The sequence below is a fragment of the Homo sapiens genome, chromosome 5 (genome assembly GCF_000001405.40).
Source record: "Homo sapiens chromosome 5, GRCh38.p14 Primary Assembly".
NCBI classification, from domain to species: domain Eukaryota; kingdom Metazoa; phylum Chordata; class Mammalia; order Primates; family Hominidae; genus Homo; species Homo sapiens.
Window position 1 is genome coordinate 11,020,752 of NC_000005.10, and position 22,049 is coordinate 11,042,800.

Here is a 22,049-nt window from a genome sequence, read left to right on the forward strand (position 1 = left end):
AAGCTACATGAAACAGTGAATGAGACTGACTAAGCAGGAGAACTGTAACCAGGAAGATGCTTGATTCAATCCAATTTAACACTTCTTATTAAACTCGTAAATCCAGGCTGTTGGCATTGGAAAAAGAGATAAAGGAACAACAAGACAGAATGAGCGCCTATTCTATAAGTAAATTTTCAGCCAAATTAAAGGGCATTTATGAGATCATCTTTAGTGAAAAAAATCTTCCCATTAACAATAATCAAGATTGGACCTGGCTTATCAGGACCTTAGCAACATGGATCTGTATTATTTTATAGATGGTTTCTTCAAGTGATTTGTAATATCATTTCATAGATGGTTTCTTCGAGTGATTTGTAAATTAGTTTCACCAAATAATTTTATTTGACCATAGGACTCAATAAAACTTTTTTTTCTCTTTAGGCCCATTTAGTGATGCTTATTGCAGTAGGAATGCTCATAAAGTTGGAGAGAATTAATATATGCCAAACCACTCCTCAAAGCTCTCTAACTGTATAATTCAGAGAAAATACTTTAATCTTTGAATGTCTCATGAATATAGACAAGAATATATCAGATTGTTTTGCAGACTACGGTTTTATTGTGTGTGTGGGTGTGTATGCTCAAGAAAGCATTACCATATTAAGATCTTAATGCTCAAAACAGGTAAGCACTTCAATTAGAGATTCCAAAGGTCTATTGAAGCTAAATAAAGAAGAAAACCATATGGTTTCCTGCCTACGTAGGATAGCACTTTATTGTAAGTACAATATCATAAGATATAGCTCAAGCCAACAGTCTCCACTGCGCAATTATTATATGAGTCCAGTGGGGCTTTTCTACTTAATATGAGAAAACATTCAAATCCAAATGCAAAATTGTTGATTGAGCCTATTTGGAGGTCTCTGGGTGCTTAAACAGAAACTCCGAATCTTCTATAATACATTGGTACTATCCTGAATTAAGTGAAATAATGAGACAGAATTTCCAGAAAGTTTCAAAGTGCGTCCCTCAAAGTGTTTAATAACAACAAACTATTTAGCATTTACATGTAAAAGAATGGGGGGTGGGGGTGGCTTGGCAGGGAATGAAAAGTCAAGAAATAGACTCTTGATAACAAAATGTTTACCCTTTTAATCTTATTTAATTACATCGAGGGACTTCCAAGAGGCAAAATTTAATTAAGGTTAGTGAAGGTTTCTGTAAAATTGACACCTTGCTGATATACCGATGCGCTGGCTTGTGAAGCTATTTTCCAGCTGTATATAGTAAGATACTGTTGGTTCTTAAAAACTAGGAGGCATTCTTATTCAAGGAGGTGCAGTTGCTTTGACACCAAGTCTCATCTCTTTTTGTTCTATCTGCACGAAGGCCCTCCTTTCTCACCACTATCTGCACTGCCTGGGAAATTTCTACTCATTCTTTAAGATTTGATTATCAACTCTTCCAGCTAGCATATTGTGACAGCCTCTCCCTTAGGTTTAGATTGGAAAGTATAGGCATAGTGACTTGTTAAATTAAATATTTGCCCCACATCTCACAGCTTGTAAGGGAGGGTACTAGATGAGAACTGAGTTCTCTGACTCCATCATGCCCTGTCTCCTCCCCCATCCTTCCTGCATGGTGACTTGCTATGACTTGGTGGCTACTGTGATGTTGGTAAGGTGGACCTGACTTGGTTGCAGAGCTGAAGAGGCACAGAGCAGAGGGATGTAGAGACATCATCAACACACGGACTTCCCACCACAGAGGAACAACAACAAAATACCTTCATGTATCCAGGTTGAACTCGTGTCGCTGCCATGTGGAAGGAGCACATGGGTGTGCTGGATCGTCAAGTCCATTTTACCAACAGTAAGAGAGAAGACTGGAAACCATTTGCCATTTTCCTTCTCTTGATTCTCAGAGACAAATGCTTTCCAGTGACAGTCATAGTACTACCCGTCATCAGGAGTTGAAAGGCACATTCAGAACCAATTTTACCAGGACAGAGATATGGCGTCACCAGGTAACTTACTTATCTCCTTTGCTTTTGGAGATGCCGACCAACTTCTCGATGCCACCGGCATCCCGTAAGGCCTTGGCGTTCTCCATGTTCTTGGTAATCACTTCGTGCAGTGTGCAGCAGACAGCTGTCACTGTGTCATCCGACATGGCCTTGCTTGCAGTGTTGTTGCTGTTGTTCCCTCCTGGAAGCCTGTGGACTAGGTCTCGCATGGCGTATTTGCCTGGAAAAGAAAATAAAGAGAAGAGTTGAAAGGAGGTCAAGGTGAAGGCAGAGATAGTGGCAGAGGTGGGTATGGGGGAGAAGAGAATACGAGAGGCCACGTTTATGCAAAATTGTTTGTTTCCCATCACTGAATGTTCCCTATTGGGTAGTTTTACACACATCTACAGAGAAAAACAGTCATTCCTCATGGCAGTGCATCCACTCTGCTGCTAGATTGACCTGGGATCAAATCACTGGCCAAGTTATTTCATGCCTCTGAAGCCTCAGTTTTTTCAATCTCTAAAGGAAGACAATAATGGTACCTGCCATACAAGGTTGCTGTAAAGCATAAATGAGTGAATGTATGGAAATGAACAAGGACACAGGACTCCATAGGTATTAGCTATTATTATGTTCTTGCTTGATGTTTATAGAAGTCAAGAAAAATGTATGGGAATTCTAACATAACCCTCAAAAATACCTTAATGAAAGCTATGTTGCGGCCTGTATTTTTTAAAAACAGTCAAAGCAAAAATGTGTGGGGAACATGATCACATATGTGAGTACTGAGCTTTGATTCATTTAAAGCAAGGAGAAACACTGAAAGCAGGAGAGAGGTACTTGACAATCTATAACTATGTGTCCTCTGAACTATAGTAACCTGATGCTGTTTGTCTCTCTGATGGGATTTTATTGTGTAGTTCTACCAGGTAACACTTACTAATTTGGTGTGTTTTTGTGTGAAAAATATAATACAATCCAATTCTGCTTCCTTAATTCACTTTAACATTATTAATCTTACTATTCCCAATGACAAAGGTACTTATAATGACATATTTATGGAGTACTTTTAGTTTACAAAGCACTTTAGGCATTACCAATAGCCCTGCAAGACAATTAATTTATCCCACCTGCAGCTTCCATTTCTGCTCCTTTAATTGACTTCTGGAAGTAAGTAAATGAGTGCCTGTAGCAAAGCTGGCTGTTCTCACATTTTTCAGATGGAATTGGCAAGTGCCTAAAGTTAGATCCCTTTCTTGTCTCCCATCCCCCAATTAGGCACATTTAGCTAGCTCCTAAAGGCTGTTTGAAATATTTCACCTCCATGTACATATCTATAAATAATAGTCTTCTTCTGCTATTTAATTCTCTGGTGTATGGTGCCTGGCAGCAGGAAGGGAACCTTGTGGGAGTAGGCGATGATATCTTAATTCCAGGCAGTGATACATAAAACACAGGCCCTTGTAATTTTGGTATCTGCTCTTATCCTATGTTTAGGTGGCTTATTTTAGCTTAGAGAGAAAATGCTGATACTTAAATTACTGAAATAGAAAAGTGTGTTCATTCACTTGATGATAGCTGAGGAAGTGTCTGACAAAAATGGTTTGCCTGCAAACCCCCAAATGTAGCATATTTATTTTCTAATGACAGCACCTAAAATAGTTTATCTATTTATCATTAAATCAGCCTTAACTCTGGTTAAGAGTTTACTTTCGTAGGGCTCAGCATGCTGGAGATTCTACCAGTTCATTAACCCCCACAAACCATTAGAAGACAAATTTGAGCTCCACAGACATGAAATGATCAATGTGTTCCTTTTTCCTTTTTCTTATAAGGAAAGTGATGAAGGAAGGGCAAAATAACTGAAAAAATACTCCAGTCATTGTATATACGGGGACATTTACACCCTTGACTGTGTATGGAGGACTGGTTTCATGACCTTGGACACTGTCAAGGTTAAAACCAAAAATGAAGAGAGGGTTAAGAATTTGGCTGTAGCATTTTTTAGTTTTGTTGGTATTATCATTTTGAAAATTATGTCAGATAAATATGAAGATGTAGTCTCATCCTCCATGGCTTTCCAATCCTTGAGTCCTGATTAAGATGCGGGTCTCCCTGTAATGTTAGTTTATTTATAGATAATAAGTAGATGGCAGGGTACCCAACCCCTGCAGAGCAGCCTCTTCCACTCACCCCAATGTGCCATTCAAGTACTATCATTTTCCATGTGCCCCATGGTATGGAAAAGACCAGGAGTCACTGTTATATTTAACTTACCCCAACTTTACTGTCGAGGAAACTCATTGGATTTATCTTATTTCTAGTATTTCCAATATAGGTTACTGACATTTTACTAGGCAATTGGAGATTTTTCATTAAGTCTATTTATCAGTCTACTATTTATCAGTCTATCTGGAGGAATATATTTTAGTCCAAATTTTTGACCATCCAAGTAAAGAAACAAATCAGGTAATATTATTCCACGGAGAAGAAAACCTCGGGGCAGTTTGTTAATTATTTTAAAAGTTTACAATTCTTTTTTAGCCTTTGATTATGTGTTGAAAAATGCTGTCTTTTTACAGTGAAATTTAAATCCTATCTTCACAAGAAATTTGGGTAGCAAAAAAAGATTTTTAGCTCTTTCTAGTGTTTAGAAACTTTGAAGCTGATTAGGGAAATAATAAAATGTGGGACATAGAATAATTACAGATGCAAGTGACCTTGTGTTGTATGTTTATAACAGTAGTTCAGGGAAGAGACAAGTTAGATAGGACTGGAGTTATTATGGAAGGCTTGATTCAGGAGGTGTACATTTAGGATTTTTTCTTGTATGTCAAGGGGGCAACAAGAACAACTTGATATTTTACAAAAAGAATTCTGGTGCATTAAGAAGGAAGGTTTCAGAATAGTAAAACTGAGGGTGGAAGAAACATAGTCTTTTTCTTGACAATAATGTTCTCTTCTTCTAGACTTCTAGTGAAATTATAAGCACTACAACTCAAGGTAGTGTGCTTCTATAACTGTTCCATATCCTGTATTTTCTTTTTAACCTAAGTTTCTAAACACTTGAAAGAGCTAAAAAGCTATTCTTGCTGCCCAGTAGGAGGAATCTTGATTCCTCTCCTTCTACTGTTTCAGGCAGACTTTTGGGTCTTTGAGGTCTGAGATTTCTTCAGAGGGTAAAAGAAGTTAATTCCCTTTTTTTGTATCACATTGGCAACAGGAAACTGCAAAGTGGGTGGTTCAAACTTTTTTTATAGTTTCACACCATCAAGGTGGTCAAATTGTTTCCTTTTCTTTTTAGAGAGAGAAATGGATGGAGGTAGGGTTCTTTTAGGACTGGGGAAGAAAGAGGCTGGATCACCAGGTGGAGGTTGTGGGCAGTTCTTCACAGTCCCAGGGACAGAAAGGGCACCTAGAGCCCAGCTGTGGTCCTGTGGTGCACTGAGATTCTCTGTGGATGCAGAGCATAAGCTTCCTCCTGTGTTTGAGCCTGGCATGGGGCAGAAGAAGTGCCTGTCTTGGAATGACCTGCTTAGGCCCTCAAAAGGAGCAGGCACCAGTAACCACTGCAAATAGATGACTGCTCCAGCTGACTACTCCACCTTCTTCTTCTTTTTTTTTTTTTTTTTTTTTAAGACAGTCTCACTCTGTTGTCCAGGCTGGAGTGCAGTGGTATGATCTCATCTCAATGCAACCTCCATCTCCTGGGTTCAAGCGATTCTTCTGCCTCAGCCTCCCGAGTAGCTGGGACTACAGGCACATGCCACCACACCTGGCTACCTTTTGAATTTTAGTATAGATGGGGTTTCACCATGTTAGCCAGGCTGGTCTCAAACTCCTGACCTCAAGTGATCTGCCTGCCTCTGCCTCCCAAAGTGCTGGGATTACAGGTGTAAGCCACCATGCACAGCTGACTCTACCTTCTAGATTTAATTTGATTAAAAGATATGACACAGACTGAAAATAATAGAGTGATTCATTCATTTGGCAGGAAACTATAATATTTCAGGAACAAACAAGAACCTGTGACTACAAAAAGGTGGTCATGGGAGGATCAAGGACATGAGAGCAGCCATTATGGAAATTCTTAAGAAGCAACTGACAGGGCTTGGAGCCCAGGGAAATGTTGAGGTAATGCAGGGAAACAGGATTCAGAGATTTCACGCGGGAATAACACAGAGGGTAGTAAAAACCAAGTGAATTTTAAAGCTTAATATTAATGGATAAATTGAATGTTATTTTTCCACACAAAGAAAAACATGCAAAATTAGTTATATTACTTATATGAGAGAATCACGTACCAAAATCCCGTCAGAGAGACAAGCAGGTCATCAGGTTCAAAGAATACCTGGATTTATGAAAGCAAAGTGGATACCTTGCCTTGCTTCTATTTTGAATAAATGTGCTACCAACGATCCACTATCATGGACTCACATCTGAAAAAGGGAAATCATGGTGCTCGCTTCGGCAGCACATATACTAAAATTGGAATGATACAGAGAAAGATTAGCATGGCCCCTGTGCAAAGATAATACATAAATTTGTGAGGCGTTCCATCTTTTGTTTTTTTAAAAAGAAAAGCTTGTTCTTTGTCAGATCAAAACAATACAAAACAAGACTGTACCACCACCACTACCACAAACAAAGTCACTCTTTCTTGCTACAGTTCCCAATAGAAATGAATCCTTGGGCCATTTCTTTTAAGTTACTTAGTCTCTAGTAACAATGACTATATGTCTGATTTTTGCAATACTGGTAAGAGACTACCATTGGTGATAACATAATTGTGCAGAAAAAGGACTGTATTTTCATCAATGATGGACTAACTGAAACCTTGTAACTTTGCTACCCTTTCCACTGTGTGTATGTGTGTGTGTGTGTGTTTCCTTCAAATACCTGTATTTTGTATTTGGTGAACCAGTTTTCTAAATCCAGATTTTCTTGAAAAACTGCAAGTAAAGATTATTTTCTCTTTACAGTGCTTCATTCTCGAACTCTTCTGTTAAGCATTGTTGGGCACACCAAGGTACCCCAAGGGACTCACTCAGGAGACCTAACAAACCATGTTGCCCAAGAAAGGCACTCCTTGCAGACCGCTTGTGCAGAAAGGAGCTGGTGGGGATTTCATGATGAGGTAACAGCCTTGCTCTCGTTGACTGCTTCGGTTTCCATGTTGTGTTTGTGACTTTCTGTTTCTATTTCTGAACTAAGCCTGTATTTGTTACTGATGTGCATACTACCATTTGGTTTTCGCATTGGTGGCAGGAATGTTGAGTGGTGGTCTTATGGTCTAAAGACCTGCATTCTCTAAGGCAGCAGACAACAGGGAAGTCACTTGAGTTCCTTCCTACACTTACTATAGATCTCTTCTGATCACTGATGGAGTCCTATGTGTAGATGGTCTTTGTTGTGCACCATTATAAACTTAAATGTCTCAAACTGATTAGAGAAAATATATTTTTCCAGAAGGTCAGCTGGACTGGAGAGCAACCCCGGATGAGAAACATCACAACTCCTTTGTCTTCGAGGTTTAAGTAGTTCTATGGCCCTCCTGTTTCTGCAGCTGCTAAAACTGATCTGTGGGTTTTTGCTGAGGTGCTCTGAGTTTATTTTTTCTAAAAAACTTCTTTATTGCAGTAAAATACTTATAAAATTTACCATTTTATCCATTTTAAGTATATAGTTCATTGATATTATGTAGACTCATATCATTCTACAATCATATATCTCCAAAACTCTTTTCATCTTGCAAAATTGAAACTTTAAAAGCATTTAAACAACTCCCCAACCCTTCCCTTCAGTCCCTGGAAACCCCCATTCTACTTTCTGTCTCTTTGAATTTGACAACCAGGTACCTCATATAAATGGCATCATAAAGGATTTGTCTTTTTGTGATTGGATTATTTCACTTAGCATAATGTTCTTAAGGTTCATCCATGTTGTAGCATATGTCAGAATGTACACTCTTTTTTTCTTTTTTTCCAAGCAGGGTCTCATTCTGTCATCCAGGGTGTAGTGCACTGGTGCAATTTCAGCTGACTGCAACCTCTGCCTCCTGGGTTCAAGCAATTCTCATTCCTCAGCCTCCTGAGTAGCTGAGATTACAGGTATGTGACACCCCACCCAGCTAATTTTTTGTATGTTTAGTAGATACAGGGTGTCACTATGTTGGCCAGGCTGGTTTGAACTCCTGGCCTCAAGTGATCTGCCCACCTTGGCCTTCCAAAGTGCTGGCAGTACAGGCGTGAGCCACTGCACCCAGACAGAACTTTCTTTTCAAGACTGAATAATATTCCATTGCATGTATATATCATATTTTGCTATTCTTCTGTTGACGAAAAATTGGGTTGATACTTCATTTTCACTCTTGAGAATAATGGTGTGAACACGGATGTACAAATATCCTTTTACTTTCAATCTATTTCTGTCTTTGAATCTAAAGTAAGTTTTTTGTAGGCAACATATAATTGCATCATATTTTTTTAATGCACTCTGTCAATCTCTGTCTTTGATTGGAGAGTTTATCCATGTATATTTAAAGTAATTACTCATAAAAAGGGTCTTATTTCTAGCGTTTTTCTGTTTTCTATATGCCTTGTAGCTTTTTTGTTTGTCCCTAATTTCCTGCACCACTATCTCCTTTGTGTTGATTGTTTTCTGTAGTGAAATGTTTTAATTTCCTTATTTTCTTTCGTCTATATAGTTTAATGATTTTCTTTGTGGTTACCACAGGGATTACATTTAACATTATACCATTATAATTTGAATTTATACCAGGTTAACTTCAATAACATACAAACACTTTGTTCATTTACAGTTCCATCTCACACTTTTCAGTTATTGATGTCACACAATTACATCTTTAAACATTGTGTGTCCAAAAACATAAATAATTGGTTTTTAAAAACGAATTATGTAGAAAATTTCTCTTTAATTATGTAGAAAAAAATGTGGAGTTAGGAAACAAAGTCACAATAATGCTAGCCTTTAAACTAGTAATTGCTTTTTCTTAAATGTACTGAATTATGTAGAAAACAAAAGTAGCATTATAAACCATTGTTAAAACAATATGAGCTTTATAATTGCCCATGTATTTATCTCTACTAAGATCTTTATTTCTTCTTATACCTTTGAATTACTGTTTAGTGTTCTTGCATTTCAACATGCAGGACTCCCTTTAGGATTTCTTACAGAGCAGGTCTAGTGGTAGTGAACTCTCTTAGTTTCTGTTTATCAGGGAATGTCTTAAGTTTTCCCTCACTTCTGCTGGACATAGGATTCTTGGCTGACAGTTTTTTTTTTCTTTCGGCACCATGACTATATCAACCTACTACCTCTGGTCTTCAAAATTTTGATTAAAAAATCAGCTGATAACCTTATTTTGGATTTCTTGTGTGTGATGAGTCACTTCTCTCTGCTTTCAAGATTCTTTATCTATGTCTTTCAACAATTTGATTGTAATGTGTTTCAGTCTAGGTATCTTTGAGCTTATCCTATTTGAATCTCATTGAGTCTTGAATGTTTATATTTATGCCTTTTGTTAAATTTGGTAAGTTTTCAGCCATTATTTCCTCTAATAATCTCTCTATCCCTTTCCCACTTTTTTTCTCCTGAGTCTTTTGTAGTGTGTATTTGATCTTCTTGATGATGTCCACAGAACCCTTAAGCTCTGCTCCTTTTCTTCGATCTTTTTTCTTTCTGTTCTCCAAAGTCAGTAATTTAAATTTTCCTGTCTTTCAACTTTGCTGATTCTTTCTTCTGCCTGCTCAAATCTGCCTTTTCATTTCTTTAGTGAATTTTTCATTTCAATTATTGTACTTTTCAGCTCTAAATTTTTTGGTTTGTTTTTAGGTTTTCTATGCCTTTATTTATGTTTCCATTTTGTTCACACATCATGTTCTTGACTCTCTTCATATCTTCCTTTAATTCTTTGAACATCTTTAAAACAGTTGTTTTAAAGTCTTTGTCTAGTAGATCTACCTTTGTGCCATTTTTCAGCTATGGTTTCTGTTTTTTTTTTTTTTTTTTTTTAGTTTGTTTGTTGTTTTTCCTTGAACTGGTCATACTTCCCTGTTTCATTGTATGCCTTGTGGTTTTTTATTGTTGTTGAAACTGAAAATTTGAATGTAATAATGGGTTATCTGGAAATCAGATTCTTCCTCTTTTCCAGGGTTTGTAATTTTTTGTTTTTGTTTTGTTTTTGACTGTTTTAGGCTGTCTCTGTGTTGAGAATTAGCCTTAAGATCTTCACAGATGTTTTCTGAGCATGAGAGTTTCCCTGGGCATGCATACTGGCTCTCTTATTTCTCTTGTATATGCAGTTGCTTTTGAATATGCTAGTCTTTAATGACTGGCTCCCAAAAAGGGAAAAGAAAAACATAAAGTGGATGAGGAGGGTGACGGTGTCAGCTCTTTAAATCCTCTGAAAATAACTTCAGCCAAAGATAGAGGGGCTTGCAATCATGGTATGGGTATGTGCAACAATGGCTGCTTGCCTCTGTGTTTGTGTCACTGTAGTGAGAAGCAGCAATCAGCAGAAAGAACAGATCCACGATATTTAGAGGACGGGGTCTTTTGTGTCAACCCTGGTTTCTGCCAGCTGCAAGTAAGCTGCTCTAGGAACATGTGCACAGCTGCCTGCTACAGGGCTGAGGGGTGGGGGATGGGTAGCTACTGTGAGCTAAGCTGAGATTGACCAAATATACTGTACTTTACTGTCCAAGCCTTCTGAAATTTTTAAGTCTTCAATAGACTCCAGAGTTTCAAAATAGTTATATCAGTGTGATGGTTAATATTAGGTGTCAGCTTAATTGGATTGAAGGATGCCTCGGTGGGCTGGTAAAGTAGTGTTTCTGGTGTGTCTGTGAGGGTGTTGCCAGGGGAGATTAACATTTGAGTCAGTGGATTGGGAGAGACAGACCCACCCTCAAGGTGGGTGGGCACCATCCAGTCGGCTGCCAGCATGGCTAGAACAAAAGCAGGTGGAAAAAGGTGTGATAAGATGGCTTGCTGAACCTTCTGGCTTTCACCTTTCTCCCATGCTGGATGCTTCTTGCCCTTGAACGTCAGACTCCAGTTCTTTGGCATCTGGACTCTTGGACTTACACCACTGGTTTGACAGGGGCTTTTGGGCCTTCGGCCACAGACTGAAGGCTGCACTGTTGTCCTTCCCTACTTTTGAGACTTTTGGTGTCAGACTGAGCCACTGATGGCTTCTTTCTTCATCATCTTGCAGATGGCCTATCATGGGGCTTCACCTTGTGATCATGTAAGCCAATTCTCCTTAATAAACTTCCTTTCATATATACATATATCCTATTAGTTCTGTCCCTCTGGAGAATCCTGACTAATAGACAGATTCTGCCAATGTGATTGTGTCCAGGTGGTGAGACAAATTCCTGGTGCTTCCTACTTCTCCATCAGCCTAGAATCCTCTCCCGTCTCTGAATTTACTTTTCATCAATAATTGATGATATAAAAGTGAGGAGCTGATTTCCATGTGATTGGATGTCTGTAAGTTAGTGTGAAAAGGATTAAAGGGTTTTTTTCCTTTTGTATATAAAAGGTTGTTTGATGTTTACAATGCTGGAATGTTTTGTCTCTCATTTCTCTTTTGGGAAGTATTTGGAGCTTAATTTATAGAAATCTGTCATTTGCACACTATAAATATATCTAATTTAAACACAGTCTATCATCAAAGGGGAAAAATATATGCAAAAAATATATATTTTAAAACTGGTTAGTGTGGCTTACAGACCAAATTGGTGAAGCATTCAAAATGGTATTGCTTAGTTACTGAAAATGTCTGAATGCTTGTTAATGTGGGAAAAGTCTCTTCTGGATTGTCCGGAGATCTCTGACCTCTGGAAACATCTGGAAGGTTCTGAGTGCTTATTTTTTTTTCCCCTAAAACAAAATACATGGAATACTACTTAGCAATCAAAAGGAACACTATGTGCTACAACGTGAAAAGATTTGAATGGTATTATGCTAAGTGAAAAAAGCCAGTCTCAAAAGGTTCTATATTGTAAGATACCACTTATATAACATTCTTGAAATAACAAAATTATAGAGATGGAGAACAAATTAATGATTGCTAGGAGTTTAGGATACTTAGGAAGACTGTGACTATGACAAGATGGTACAACAAATATCATTGGGTTGAGGGAATAATTCTGTATTTTGATAGCCTTGATGGTTACACAAATCCACACATGTGATGACACTGTACACATATACTGCAATGTTAATTTCCTGATTTATTGTGTTATAGTTACATAAGATATAGCCATTGCTGGAAACTGGCTGAGGGATGCATAGGACCCCTCCTTACTATCTTTGCAATTTCCTGTGAATCCATAATTTTTTTAAAGTTAAAAATTAGAAAAGTCACACAGAAATATAGAAATATGCCAATAAACATGTGCTGACAAAAAGGTGTTAATAAATCTTAAAATGTATCCCCTGGTTCAATCCACAATGGACTTGACAAGGATTACAAAAAAATAGCACATATGAGATAAGAAGACATCCAGTCAGAAGTTCCTGAATCCTCCAGCTTACCCAAGAGTTTGCTGGGGATTCTTCTGTTGTATGTGTATAAACATTTTCTGTGTCTAGAAATTGGTATAACTTTTCTATTCTCTGGATGAGACTGATAAATGGAGCTCCCAATTTGATTGGCTTATGTAAACAAGTAAGTCCTTGTATATGTAATTACAACAAGAAAACTAAAAAATTGCCAATGAAAATACTCTCAGAATGCTTTAAGTTGCTGGTCCTTTAAGAAAAAAAATAAAAATCTGGCCAGGCTTGGTGGCTCATGCCTATAATCCCAGCACTTTGGGAGGCCAAGGTGGGCGAATCATGAGGTCAGGAGTTCGAGACCAGCTTGGCCAACATGGTGAAACCCTGTCTCTACTAAAAATAAAAAAAATTAGCTGGGTGCAGTGGCGGGAGCCTGTAATCCCAGTTACTCGGGAGGTTGAGGCAGGAGAATCGCTTGAACCTGGGAGGCAGAGGTTGCAGTGAGCTGAGATCATGCCACTGTACTCCAGCCCAGGCAACAGAGTACGACTGTCTCAACAACAACAGCAACAACAACAACAACATCTTTCACAAAAGCTTATTTCAAGGAAAAACACAAAGAAATTTCACAATGAATTAAATTAACAGCCTTGGTAGCTAGGTTAAAAAATTTAAAGCAAAGAAATAAAAGTTGATACCAGGTTAGCAAAGACAAGGTAAAAAATAGTACTAAGACACTTCAGGACCTTTAAGGATATTTGAAGAGGTTTCAATATTTAGTATCTAAGGTAAAAAGAGTTGATGCAGTATTTTCAGGTAAAGGAAATCCTTGCAAAATCAGACTGATTTGATAATATTAGGGGAAAAACAGAGATGTCTTTCCCCTGGTTTTATCATTTCATAAATCTTTTGTTAGCATGATCTGTTTTATAAAAGATTAGGTTTGTTTCCTCAATTTTTAATAATACGAATTTTTAAGATTTCCAATTCTAGGTTTATTAAACAGATAAGCTAATATTATTATTTAAACATTTAAAAAGGTTAACGAGTGTTCAGCTAGATTGAATTGTAATAACTGCTGTTTCATGAAGGAGTCGCTCTTCTTCACCTTAGGGAATTCCACAACAATCTGTTACTGAGTTACTCCACCAAATTCCTCTGAGTAAAATTCTTAGTGTCCTCTTTTTGAAAAAACACTGTCCACTAAACACATAGGCACACACATATATGCGCTTCAAATATCTGCAAATGTACAAATGTCCTGGACTTGTTCATGTTGCTAATTCATGAAATACAAAAACAATATATCAGACTGTTGGAGGAAGGACATTGTGAGGAGTCACAGGCAGCTTTCTGGAATCTCAGCTGATCTCAAGTGCACACAGGCAACTGTCTCCTAGCCTTCTCTATGTCTGTGAGGAAACAACTCAGTTACATGGTTTCAAAGTTATAACTCATGAAAAGTAGATGCTGCATGTGTTAGTTTTCTTCTTTTTTTTTTAATGTGATCTTTGTCATTTTTTATTGTGTTTATTGGGATCTTGTTTTTTTTGTTAAGCTAACTACTAGTGGTCTGTTGATCTTTTTTTTGCCTCTTTTTTAAATTTATTATTATTATACTTTAAGTTTTAGGGTACATGTGCACAGTGTGCAGGTTAGTTACATATGTATACATGTGCCATGCTGGTGCGCTGCACCCACTAACTCGTCATCTAGCATTAGGTATATCTCCCAATGCTATCCCTCCCCCCTCCCCCCACCCCACAGCAGTCCCCAGAGTGTGATGTTCCCCTTCCTGTGTCCATGTGTTCTCATTGTTCAATTCCCACCTATGAGTGAGAATATGCGGTGTTTGGTTTTCTAATGCTGCTGTAACAAATCACCACAGGTTCAGTGCTTTAAAACTAGATACATTTATTATTTCACAGTTCTGCAGGTTAGAAGTACAACACTGGTCTTACTAGGCTTCAATTAGGGTGTGGGTAGATTACGGTGTGGGAAGGACTGCATTCTGGGAGCTCTAGGAGAGAATCATTTTCTTGCCTTTTCCAGTTCCTAGAGGCCACCTGATTTCCTTGGCATGTAACCCTCTGTTTCTACCTTTAAAACTAGCAACAATGGGCCTTTCTTGTGTCACATCGCTCTGACCCTTTCATTTGCCTCCAGCTGCTCCCTTTTCCACTTTTAAGGACCTTTGTGATTACATTGGGCCCACTGGGATAATCCAGGGTCTTCTTCCTATCTCAAGGTTAGCTGATTATAAACCTTAATTCCCCTTGGCCACGTAAGGTGGCACAGCCACAGGTCTGGGGGAATAGGCTCTGGACATCTTTGGGAGGACATTATTCTGCCTACTACACTGTACTAGGTACAATAGTTGTAAAATAATATGAATGTGTCTGTAAGATAATGGAATGCATTTTTGTTTATCGAGGAAGAAAGTGTGTCTAAGGTTAAAAAATCTGGCTGTGTGTTAATATGTAAAATTAAGACATATTTGAGGATGTGCAATAAGTTATGGAAAGGTTGAGAAGAAGTGAACCTTATTTGTCTTGGTTTATAATGCCTGGAAATAATGAACTTGAAAAAAAAAAACAATGAAAGGTGTCACAGTCTTTTATAAAGTTTGTGTAATTTTGATGAGTTTACTTACAAGATAGAGAAAAGGCCTGTGAACTTTCTACTGCAAATGTTACATGAGTAGGGTACAAAAATAATGAAGTTAGTGTTGGGTTTTCTCTCTGATTATATTTGAGTATATACTCTGTTTTCAGTAAGAAATTGTGAAGAATAGTCTGTGCCCAAAGAACAAGAGCTTCTTTTGTCACTAAAATCCTCCTACTTGATATCGTGTTAATTTTTTTTTTGCGCTTTTGTTACTCTCGAGTCACTTTTAGCAAAATTTCCTCACTTGTGGAAATGCTAGAGTTCAATCTTTTAAATTAATATTTAGCAAAAGATCCTTGCTTATGAAAATGCTAGAGTTCCTAATAACTTCTTTAACCGTTTTATTATAAATATTATCATTCTGAGCCAAGCTGAAGTTACGTCTTGTCTTCAGCCACTCCAGATTTACACTCATATCTTGCATCCCAGATAACTCTTTTTGAAATTGCCTTCCACAAATCTGCACCCCCACAGTCAAACTAATACAACTTTTTTTTTTTGGACAGAGTTTCACTCTTGTTACCCAGGCTGGAGTGCAATGGCACGATCTTGGCTCGCTGCAACCTCTGCCTCCTGCGTTCAAACAATTCTCCTGCCTCATCCTCCCAAGTAGCTGGGATTACAGGTGCCCACCACCAAGCCTGGCTAATTTTTTGTATTTTTTGGTAGAAATGGGATTTCACCACGTTGGCCACACACCTCGGCCTCCCAAAGTGCTGGGACTACAGGCATGAGCCACTGCGCCTGGCCTCAAACTAATACAACTTTTAGAAGTATCTTCTACATCTAAACCATCTTTGCGGTTTCTCAGAAAACTTCCGGTGACACTAAAGATTTTTCTTCTTCACTTTATGAGAAAAGGGATCCTAGAAATAATTGGCTATGTTCAGCATTTCGTAGATTTTTATTTGGTTTAATACTATGTTGAGAGCTGTCCTGTTCATCAAGAATCCAATACAAAAAGACCTGCCAAGACATGAAAAAATGAAAAGCTCAACCACCACTTAATTATGATGAGTAAAATATGAGCATTATGATTATGCTTCAGCAGTGATGACCTTTTCATTGTGGAGAGAGGCACACTCTCCTTCATGTTAAAGAATGGCACAATAATGGTCAACAATTTTTTAAAAGAAGATCCCATTTCCACATTTAAAATAGCCTTTTCAGTTGGTGGTAATCCAAACACACATTGGATGGAATAAATTAAAAGGCCATGGAGATTGTTCTGTGCCCTCACCACTCTCATGGCCGTCACTGACTAATTATTTATGAAACTAAACTGGCCTCAATTTGGATATTAGTGGTTATAATGAGTAAACAACCAGACCTATTCAGCCTTAGCACCAACAGGTGGTTTCTGATTTTTTGTCACACGATCCTAAATACCCCTGCCAAAACCATGCGTCAGTATTGATGGCTGCTGGAAGAAACATCACAACAGCTCGATTAAAGGACTCTAACAAGTTCTTTCGACACTTCATAGAATAGAAAATTGGATCTTAGTTACACGCATCCCTATATCAGCTGATATCACCACCACATATGAAGACTACCAAGGGACTGAGTCAGGAGTTCCAGAACTTGTTTGCACTGGAGGCAGAAAACTTTGAGAAAGTGGAGTGCCTACTAATCCAAGATCAACAAAACAAGGATTAATTACCTCAACAAAATGATACAAATTTCGCTGTGATTACTGTTCTGATTTGAATCGGGCATGTTATAGAAGCCTTCTGTCTATTTCCTCTGTCTCCAGTGCTTGATCTAACAGGTTATGCTTATAAAGACTAGAATAAAACATTCCTTAAATGGTATCTTCTAATTAATCCTTCAAAACTCATTTTTAAAATCCTTTAAAAATTTTAAAACAGATGATGATAATAAATTATCAGGAAAAGCTAATAACTATAATAGTCCTGCAAATATCATGACATATATTGATTGGTCTGAAACTATACAACAACTGAAAGCAATAGTTACATTATTATTTAACTATTATTATTACTAATCTGGGTGTTTTTCTTTAGCCATAGGCCTTCATATTTACCTAGAATCTGTCCTCCTTCCTACCAGAATGTAATTGAGTAAATCAAATCTGTGATAATGACCATGCCAGAGATGTTACATTTAAAGGGAAATATAATGTAATTAGACATGACAAGCTCATTTAAAATGAGTGCATTTCATATGTGGGGTTAATGCCTACACCATCCTCCCAGGACACTGGCTTGGTTCATGTTGTGTAGCTTAGGGCAGGGGTCCCCAAGCCCTGGGCCATGGAACAATACTGGTCCATGGCCTGTTAGGAACCAGGCCACACAGCAGGAGGTGAGCAGCAGGTGAGCGAGAATTACAGCCTGAGCTTCGCCTTCTGTCAGATCAGTGGTGTCATTAGATTCTTACAGGAGTGTGAGCCCTATTGTGAACAATGCATGTGAAGGAGCTAGGTTGCACACGCCTTATGAGAATCTAATTAATGCCAGATGATCTGAGGTGGACACTTTCATCCTGAAACCATCTTCCCCACCGACCTCAGTCCATGGAAAAATGGTCTTCCATGAAACTGGTCCCTGCTGCCACAAAGGTTGGGGAACGTTGGCTTAGGGAATCCCAACTCTACAGGCAGTATGGCCAGGAGCACTGAAAACTTGGAGCTCAGAGAGATGGAATAATCTTTGAGACCTAGGTAGTGGATGTGAAACCTGGAAGAGGTGAACTTTGAATCTGAAAGTTCTGGATTACTGATTTCAGCAATCCAGAATCAAATATTTCTGCCACAGATATAAAAGTGACCACAAAACAAAAGTTAACCCTCAAGATTTAACATCATATAGCTCTCATTTTTATAACCATGCTAAGGGGTCTTTGTGAATGAATCAACACTGCTTGCTATACCTATGTCTATACAGCTGGTTCAATAAGACAACATATCAAATTAATGATCACAAATAGGAAAACTGCTAACCAAACACCTGTGGTTAAATCTATTTTAGGGGCAGAACGTCAGCATTATAACTGTAAAGGCAAACCAGTACCCAGCTCTGCACCTGTCATGGCAGCGTGCACATCATGTGCTTGTCACAGTCCTCATTCAGGGAAACAGGACAAAGCCAAGCTCAGGGAAACAATCCCAAAGCAAGCAAGCAAGCAAGCAAGCAAACAAACAAACAAAACACACAATCGCCTTTCTACTGTAGTCCCAAATAATGAATCTTTGACCCATTTCCTAACAGTTGCAGACTCCCCAATCAACATCATCTCTGACATTGGCAATACCAATCTGTGACAATGTGATTACCTTGTGAGAAAACTGCTGTTTGCCCAGCATGACCTGACTAAATGTAACCTTACAAACCAAGGTAATTTTGTACTTAGTTTTAAATGTAGACGGCTGGTCTTAATTCTGGCTCCCCTGCAACAATCCATAAGAAAACCCCTTTCTCATCTTGATGCTTTTTCTTTCTGTCTTCCTTTCACACAGTGGACGATGGCTGTGGCAACACCAACCCTCTGGATTGATCATACCAGTCCCCTTTTCCCAGAAAGGGACCTGTTCATCTCCACATCTGCCCCTTTGCTCTTGCTAGATTCAAATAAATATTTCAAGAGATGCCTTGATTTTTTTAAAAAATGAATCTTCTTTTATAATCTGCCTGTTGTTTTAATTGATTAGAGATTTATTCAAATAGAAAAAGAGAGAGAGAAGGAATATTAAGAAGAGACCAGCTGGAGCCAGGGGATCAAATAGTTGCAATGGGCAGAGGATAAGACAAATTCTAGAAGGTACACTAAAGTTCCTTATGTTTTTTTCTAATAACCATTATTTTAAAAAACAAGTACAGGCCAGGCACAGTAGCTCACACCTGTAATCCCAGCACTTTGGGAGGCCGAGGCTGGTAGATTGCATGAGGTCAGGAGTTCGAGACCAGCTTGGCCAACATGACGAAACCCCATCTCTACTAAAAATGCAAAAATTAGCCAGGCATGGTGACACGTGCCTGTAGTCCCAGCTACTTGGGAGGCTGAGGCAGAAGAATCAGTTGGACCTGGGAGGCAGAGGTTGCAATGAGCTGAGATCACACCACTGCACTCCAGCCTGGGTTAACAGAGTGAACTCTGTCTCAAAAAAGCAAACAAACAAAAAAAACTCCGAAAAAATTAGCTGGGCATGGTGGCGGGTGCCTGTAATCCCAGCTACTCAGGAGGCTGAGGCAGGAGAATTGTTTGAACCCGGGAGGTGGAGGTTGCAGTGAGCTGAGATCACGCCATTGCACTCTAGCCTGGGTGACAGGGTAAGACTCAGTCTCAAAAAAACAAAAACAAAAACAAAAAGCACAGACCTGTAGCACATATAAGATCCTATTTCACATGCCCGAATTGGTAAGCAGTTAGTCTGAGAAAATGATTCAAAGAGTAACTCAATCCTCTGAAAAGAAATAACATTGAATGAGGCAGAATCTTACAGGTTTATGGCATACGGTATGCATTTCTTTCAAGAGTTGTTATACTCAAATAAATAACCTATTCCATCTGTTTGGAAGACAAAAGGAATTGTATGTTTCAGCACCTTGTCTCATCCAGGGGAATTCACTGAATTAGATTCTGAGAAATTCTCACACTGTTGAAGTGTGAAGAACTAAGAAAATGAGTAGAACTGTGGGCAAGAAGGTGGCTGAGATATGCATATTTAACTAGTATAAGAATGGTTCTAAAAATAAAAATGGCAGTTAATTAACAAGAGATTTGCTGAAGTTCCTTTTTGAACTAGAAATAAATTGATTTTTGAGAAATACTGAAAATGAGGCAAGCAACTAATATGATACATTTTAACAGGATTTAAATAATTTGATTAACTATTAAGCATGATAACCATAAAAATAATTATCTCAATTCATTGACTAATTTTAGCAGAAAGGAATGATGAAAATTTAAACTTACTGATTCTAGCTTCAGGAGAGAAACCTATGAAGGGTGTTTTATTTTTAGGTCAAGATTGCTATCTAGCAAAGACCCAAGAACTCTCCTAAGATGAAAATTTCAGAAGACAATTGTCTGTCTGAGACAGATGAGATCAGTGTTTCTCTGAAGAAAAGTTTGTTTTCAGGAATAGAGTCTGAAATTAGTCCTCCAACCTGAGCGACATTGGAATAGCAGTAATTCATTGATTACTGCAATGGCTTAATGATTAATTATATAATCACATTCCCTCATTCTTGCTTTTCCAAATTGATTTACACCTCTGCCAAAATAAAAATCAGACCCAATTAAGGATATGGAGAGAGGGAATCATCTGTTGGTTTTCTTCATATGCTGTTACTCATAGATGACATTATGTAGTGTTCTAACTTTTTTAAGAACATTCATATTCATTATTTCCATTTGTGTCTTACATTACCCTAGGGATATAAAAATGGCAGGTATAATTTCCAATTTATCTAGAAGACAAATAGAAGTTAAATGGTATGGGAAAGGTCACAGAGCTGTCTCCTGAGCTTTGGTGACCATAAGTCTCTTAGGCAGAAGCTCTTTTCTCCAGCCTAACCCTCCTGACTCCTTCCTCTGAGCTCTTTTCACAGGGATAGACTGCCTTTACCACCTGTGTGACACCTTCCCTGTCATGCATTTATTCAGCCAGTCATTCCAAAAACATTCATTGAAGTTGCATCTAGTTTGCTGATGTATATAATTTATCCTTCTATCATATAAACTGAGGATAGGATGATAGCTAACAAACCTATGTCTACTGATAATAAACAAATTGCATGAGGCTTTTGACCACACAAGGTAAGAAGGTACAACAGCACTTTGATCACTGAAAATTGCATTCATATTTATCCTGTTGCAGTTGTTATTTACTTCTATGCAGGTCTGGGGAATACTAGTTTTAAAAGGTGCTATGTTATAAATAGGGTTTCACTGCAACATAAATGCAGGAAATACTGTACTTGATACTCATCTCAGAGATTTATAATGTATTAGCAAATTTACTTTGAATTAGCAAAGTAAAGGCTCTGAGCAGACCAACAGACACAATGAAGCCAACTGTTCAACTTTGTTTAAGCACAGGTTTTGCCAAACTTATCAGAATAGAGAAACTTATGAGAATAGAGAAACTTATCAGAATAGAGAAAGCAGTCTTGGGCATGGCATCCATTCCATTTCCAGAGAAGTGGGGGTCTGAGGACTCAGTCTGGGGCCCTGCTGCTACTGTTCTTGTTCCTTTGATTAAGTTTTCATGTCACCAAGTGCACACAGATCTTTACACCACAGAAGCTGTAATTTCACAACTTAAATTAATGTTGATGAAAACTAGAACTAAAAGAAAAACTCTTACTATGAAAAAGGGATGGTCAGAGAAGACGTATGTTAGTCTGTTTTTAGTGTTGGCTGATAGGAGCAGCTCACCCCAATACACTTTATTCCTAAATGCATCTGTCTTGTTCTTATGTTATACACGCACACCTTGTTCACAGAGGACTTCGTAAACTAGAGAGATATGTGGCATTAAAGAAGGATATGTAATTATTTGCTTAAAATTTCATCTTCCTTATTAACCAATGAGATGTTTATGGATGAATTCCAAGATGGTTCTCAAACAGAGGAAGTTCACTGTACGAAACTCATGTAATTTTGTTGCCCAAGTCAATTTTTGTCCTGGGACTTACCAGCCAAGCCAAGTGCTGGTTTCCACATGGCAATTCTACTTCTAATGTAAATTATAGAATTGAGCTTTGGATACCGGGAAGTCTTTGGTGGCTTTAGGTCACTGGTTCACCAGGGTCTGATTTGGCTTATAAAAAACCTGTACATCTAGGATTTCCTCCAGAGCTGAAATAGACCCAAGAAGGCAGCAAGCCTGGTG

At 38.2% G+C, this 22,049-nt stretch overlaps 1 protein-coding gene and 1 pseudogene across 12 annotated transcripts in view, besides 1 other annotated feature; one reads left to right on the plus strand and one right to left on the minus strand.

Moving 5' to 3' along the window:
• CTNND2 (catenin delta 2) overlaps positions 1 to 22,049 on the minus strand; it is a 932,611-nt gene that overhangs the window by 48,916 nt on the left and 861,646 nt on the right. For all 12 annotated transcript variants that reach the window (NR_109988.2, XM_017009074.2, XM_017009072.2 and 9 more), the window contains one exon: positions 2,018 to 2,228. Coding sequence is in view for 11 of the 12 variants with exons in the window: in XM_017009074.2 (XP_016864563.1) it covers positions 2,018 to 2,228 (211 nt within the window). In the remaining variant the exon portion in view is untranslated. The remainder of the gene's footprint in view (positions 1 to 2,017; positions 2,229 to 22,049) is intronic.
• Positions 1,471 to 2,670: an enhancer, noted in NCBI's record as "BRD4-independent group 4 enhancer chr5:11022334-11023533 (GRCh37/hg19 assembly coordinates)". NCBI's record gives its function as "activates an origin of replication core promoter dependent on BRD2, P300/CBP, MED14 and CDK7 cofactors, and independent of BRD4, by STARR-seq in HCT116 cells {active_cell/tissue: HCT116}" and the evidence as "EXISTENCE:reporter gene assay evidence [ECO:0000049][PMID:35650434]".
• Positions 6,449 to 6,555, plus strand: RNU6-429P (RNA, U6 small nuclear 429, pseudogene; annotated as a pseudogene).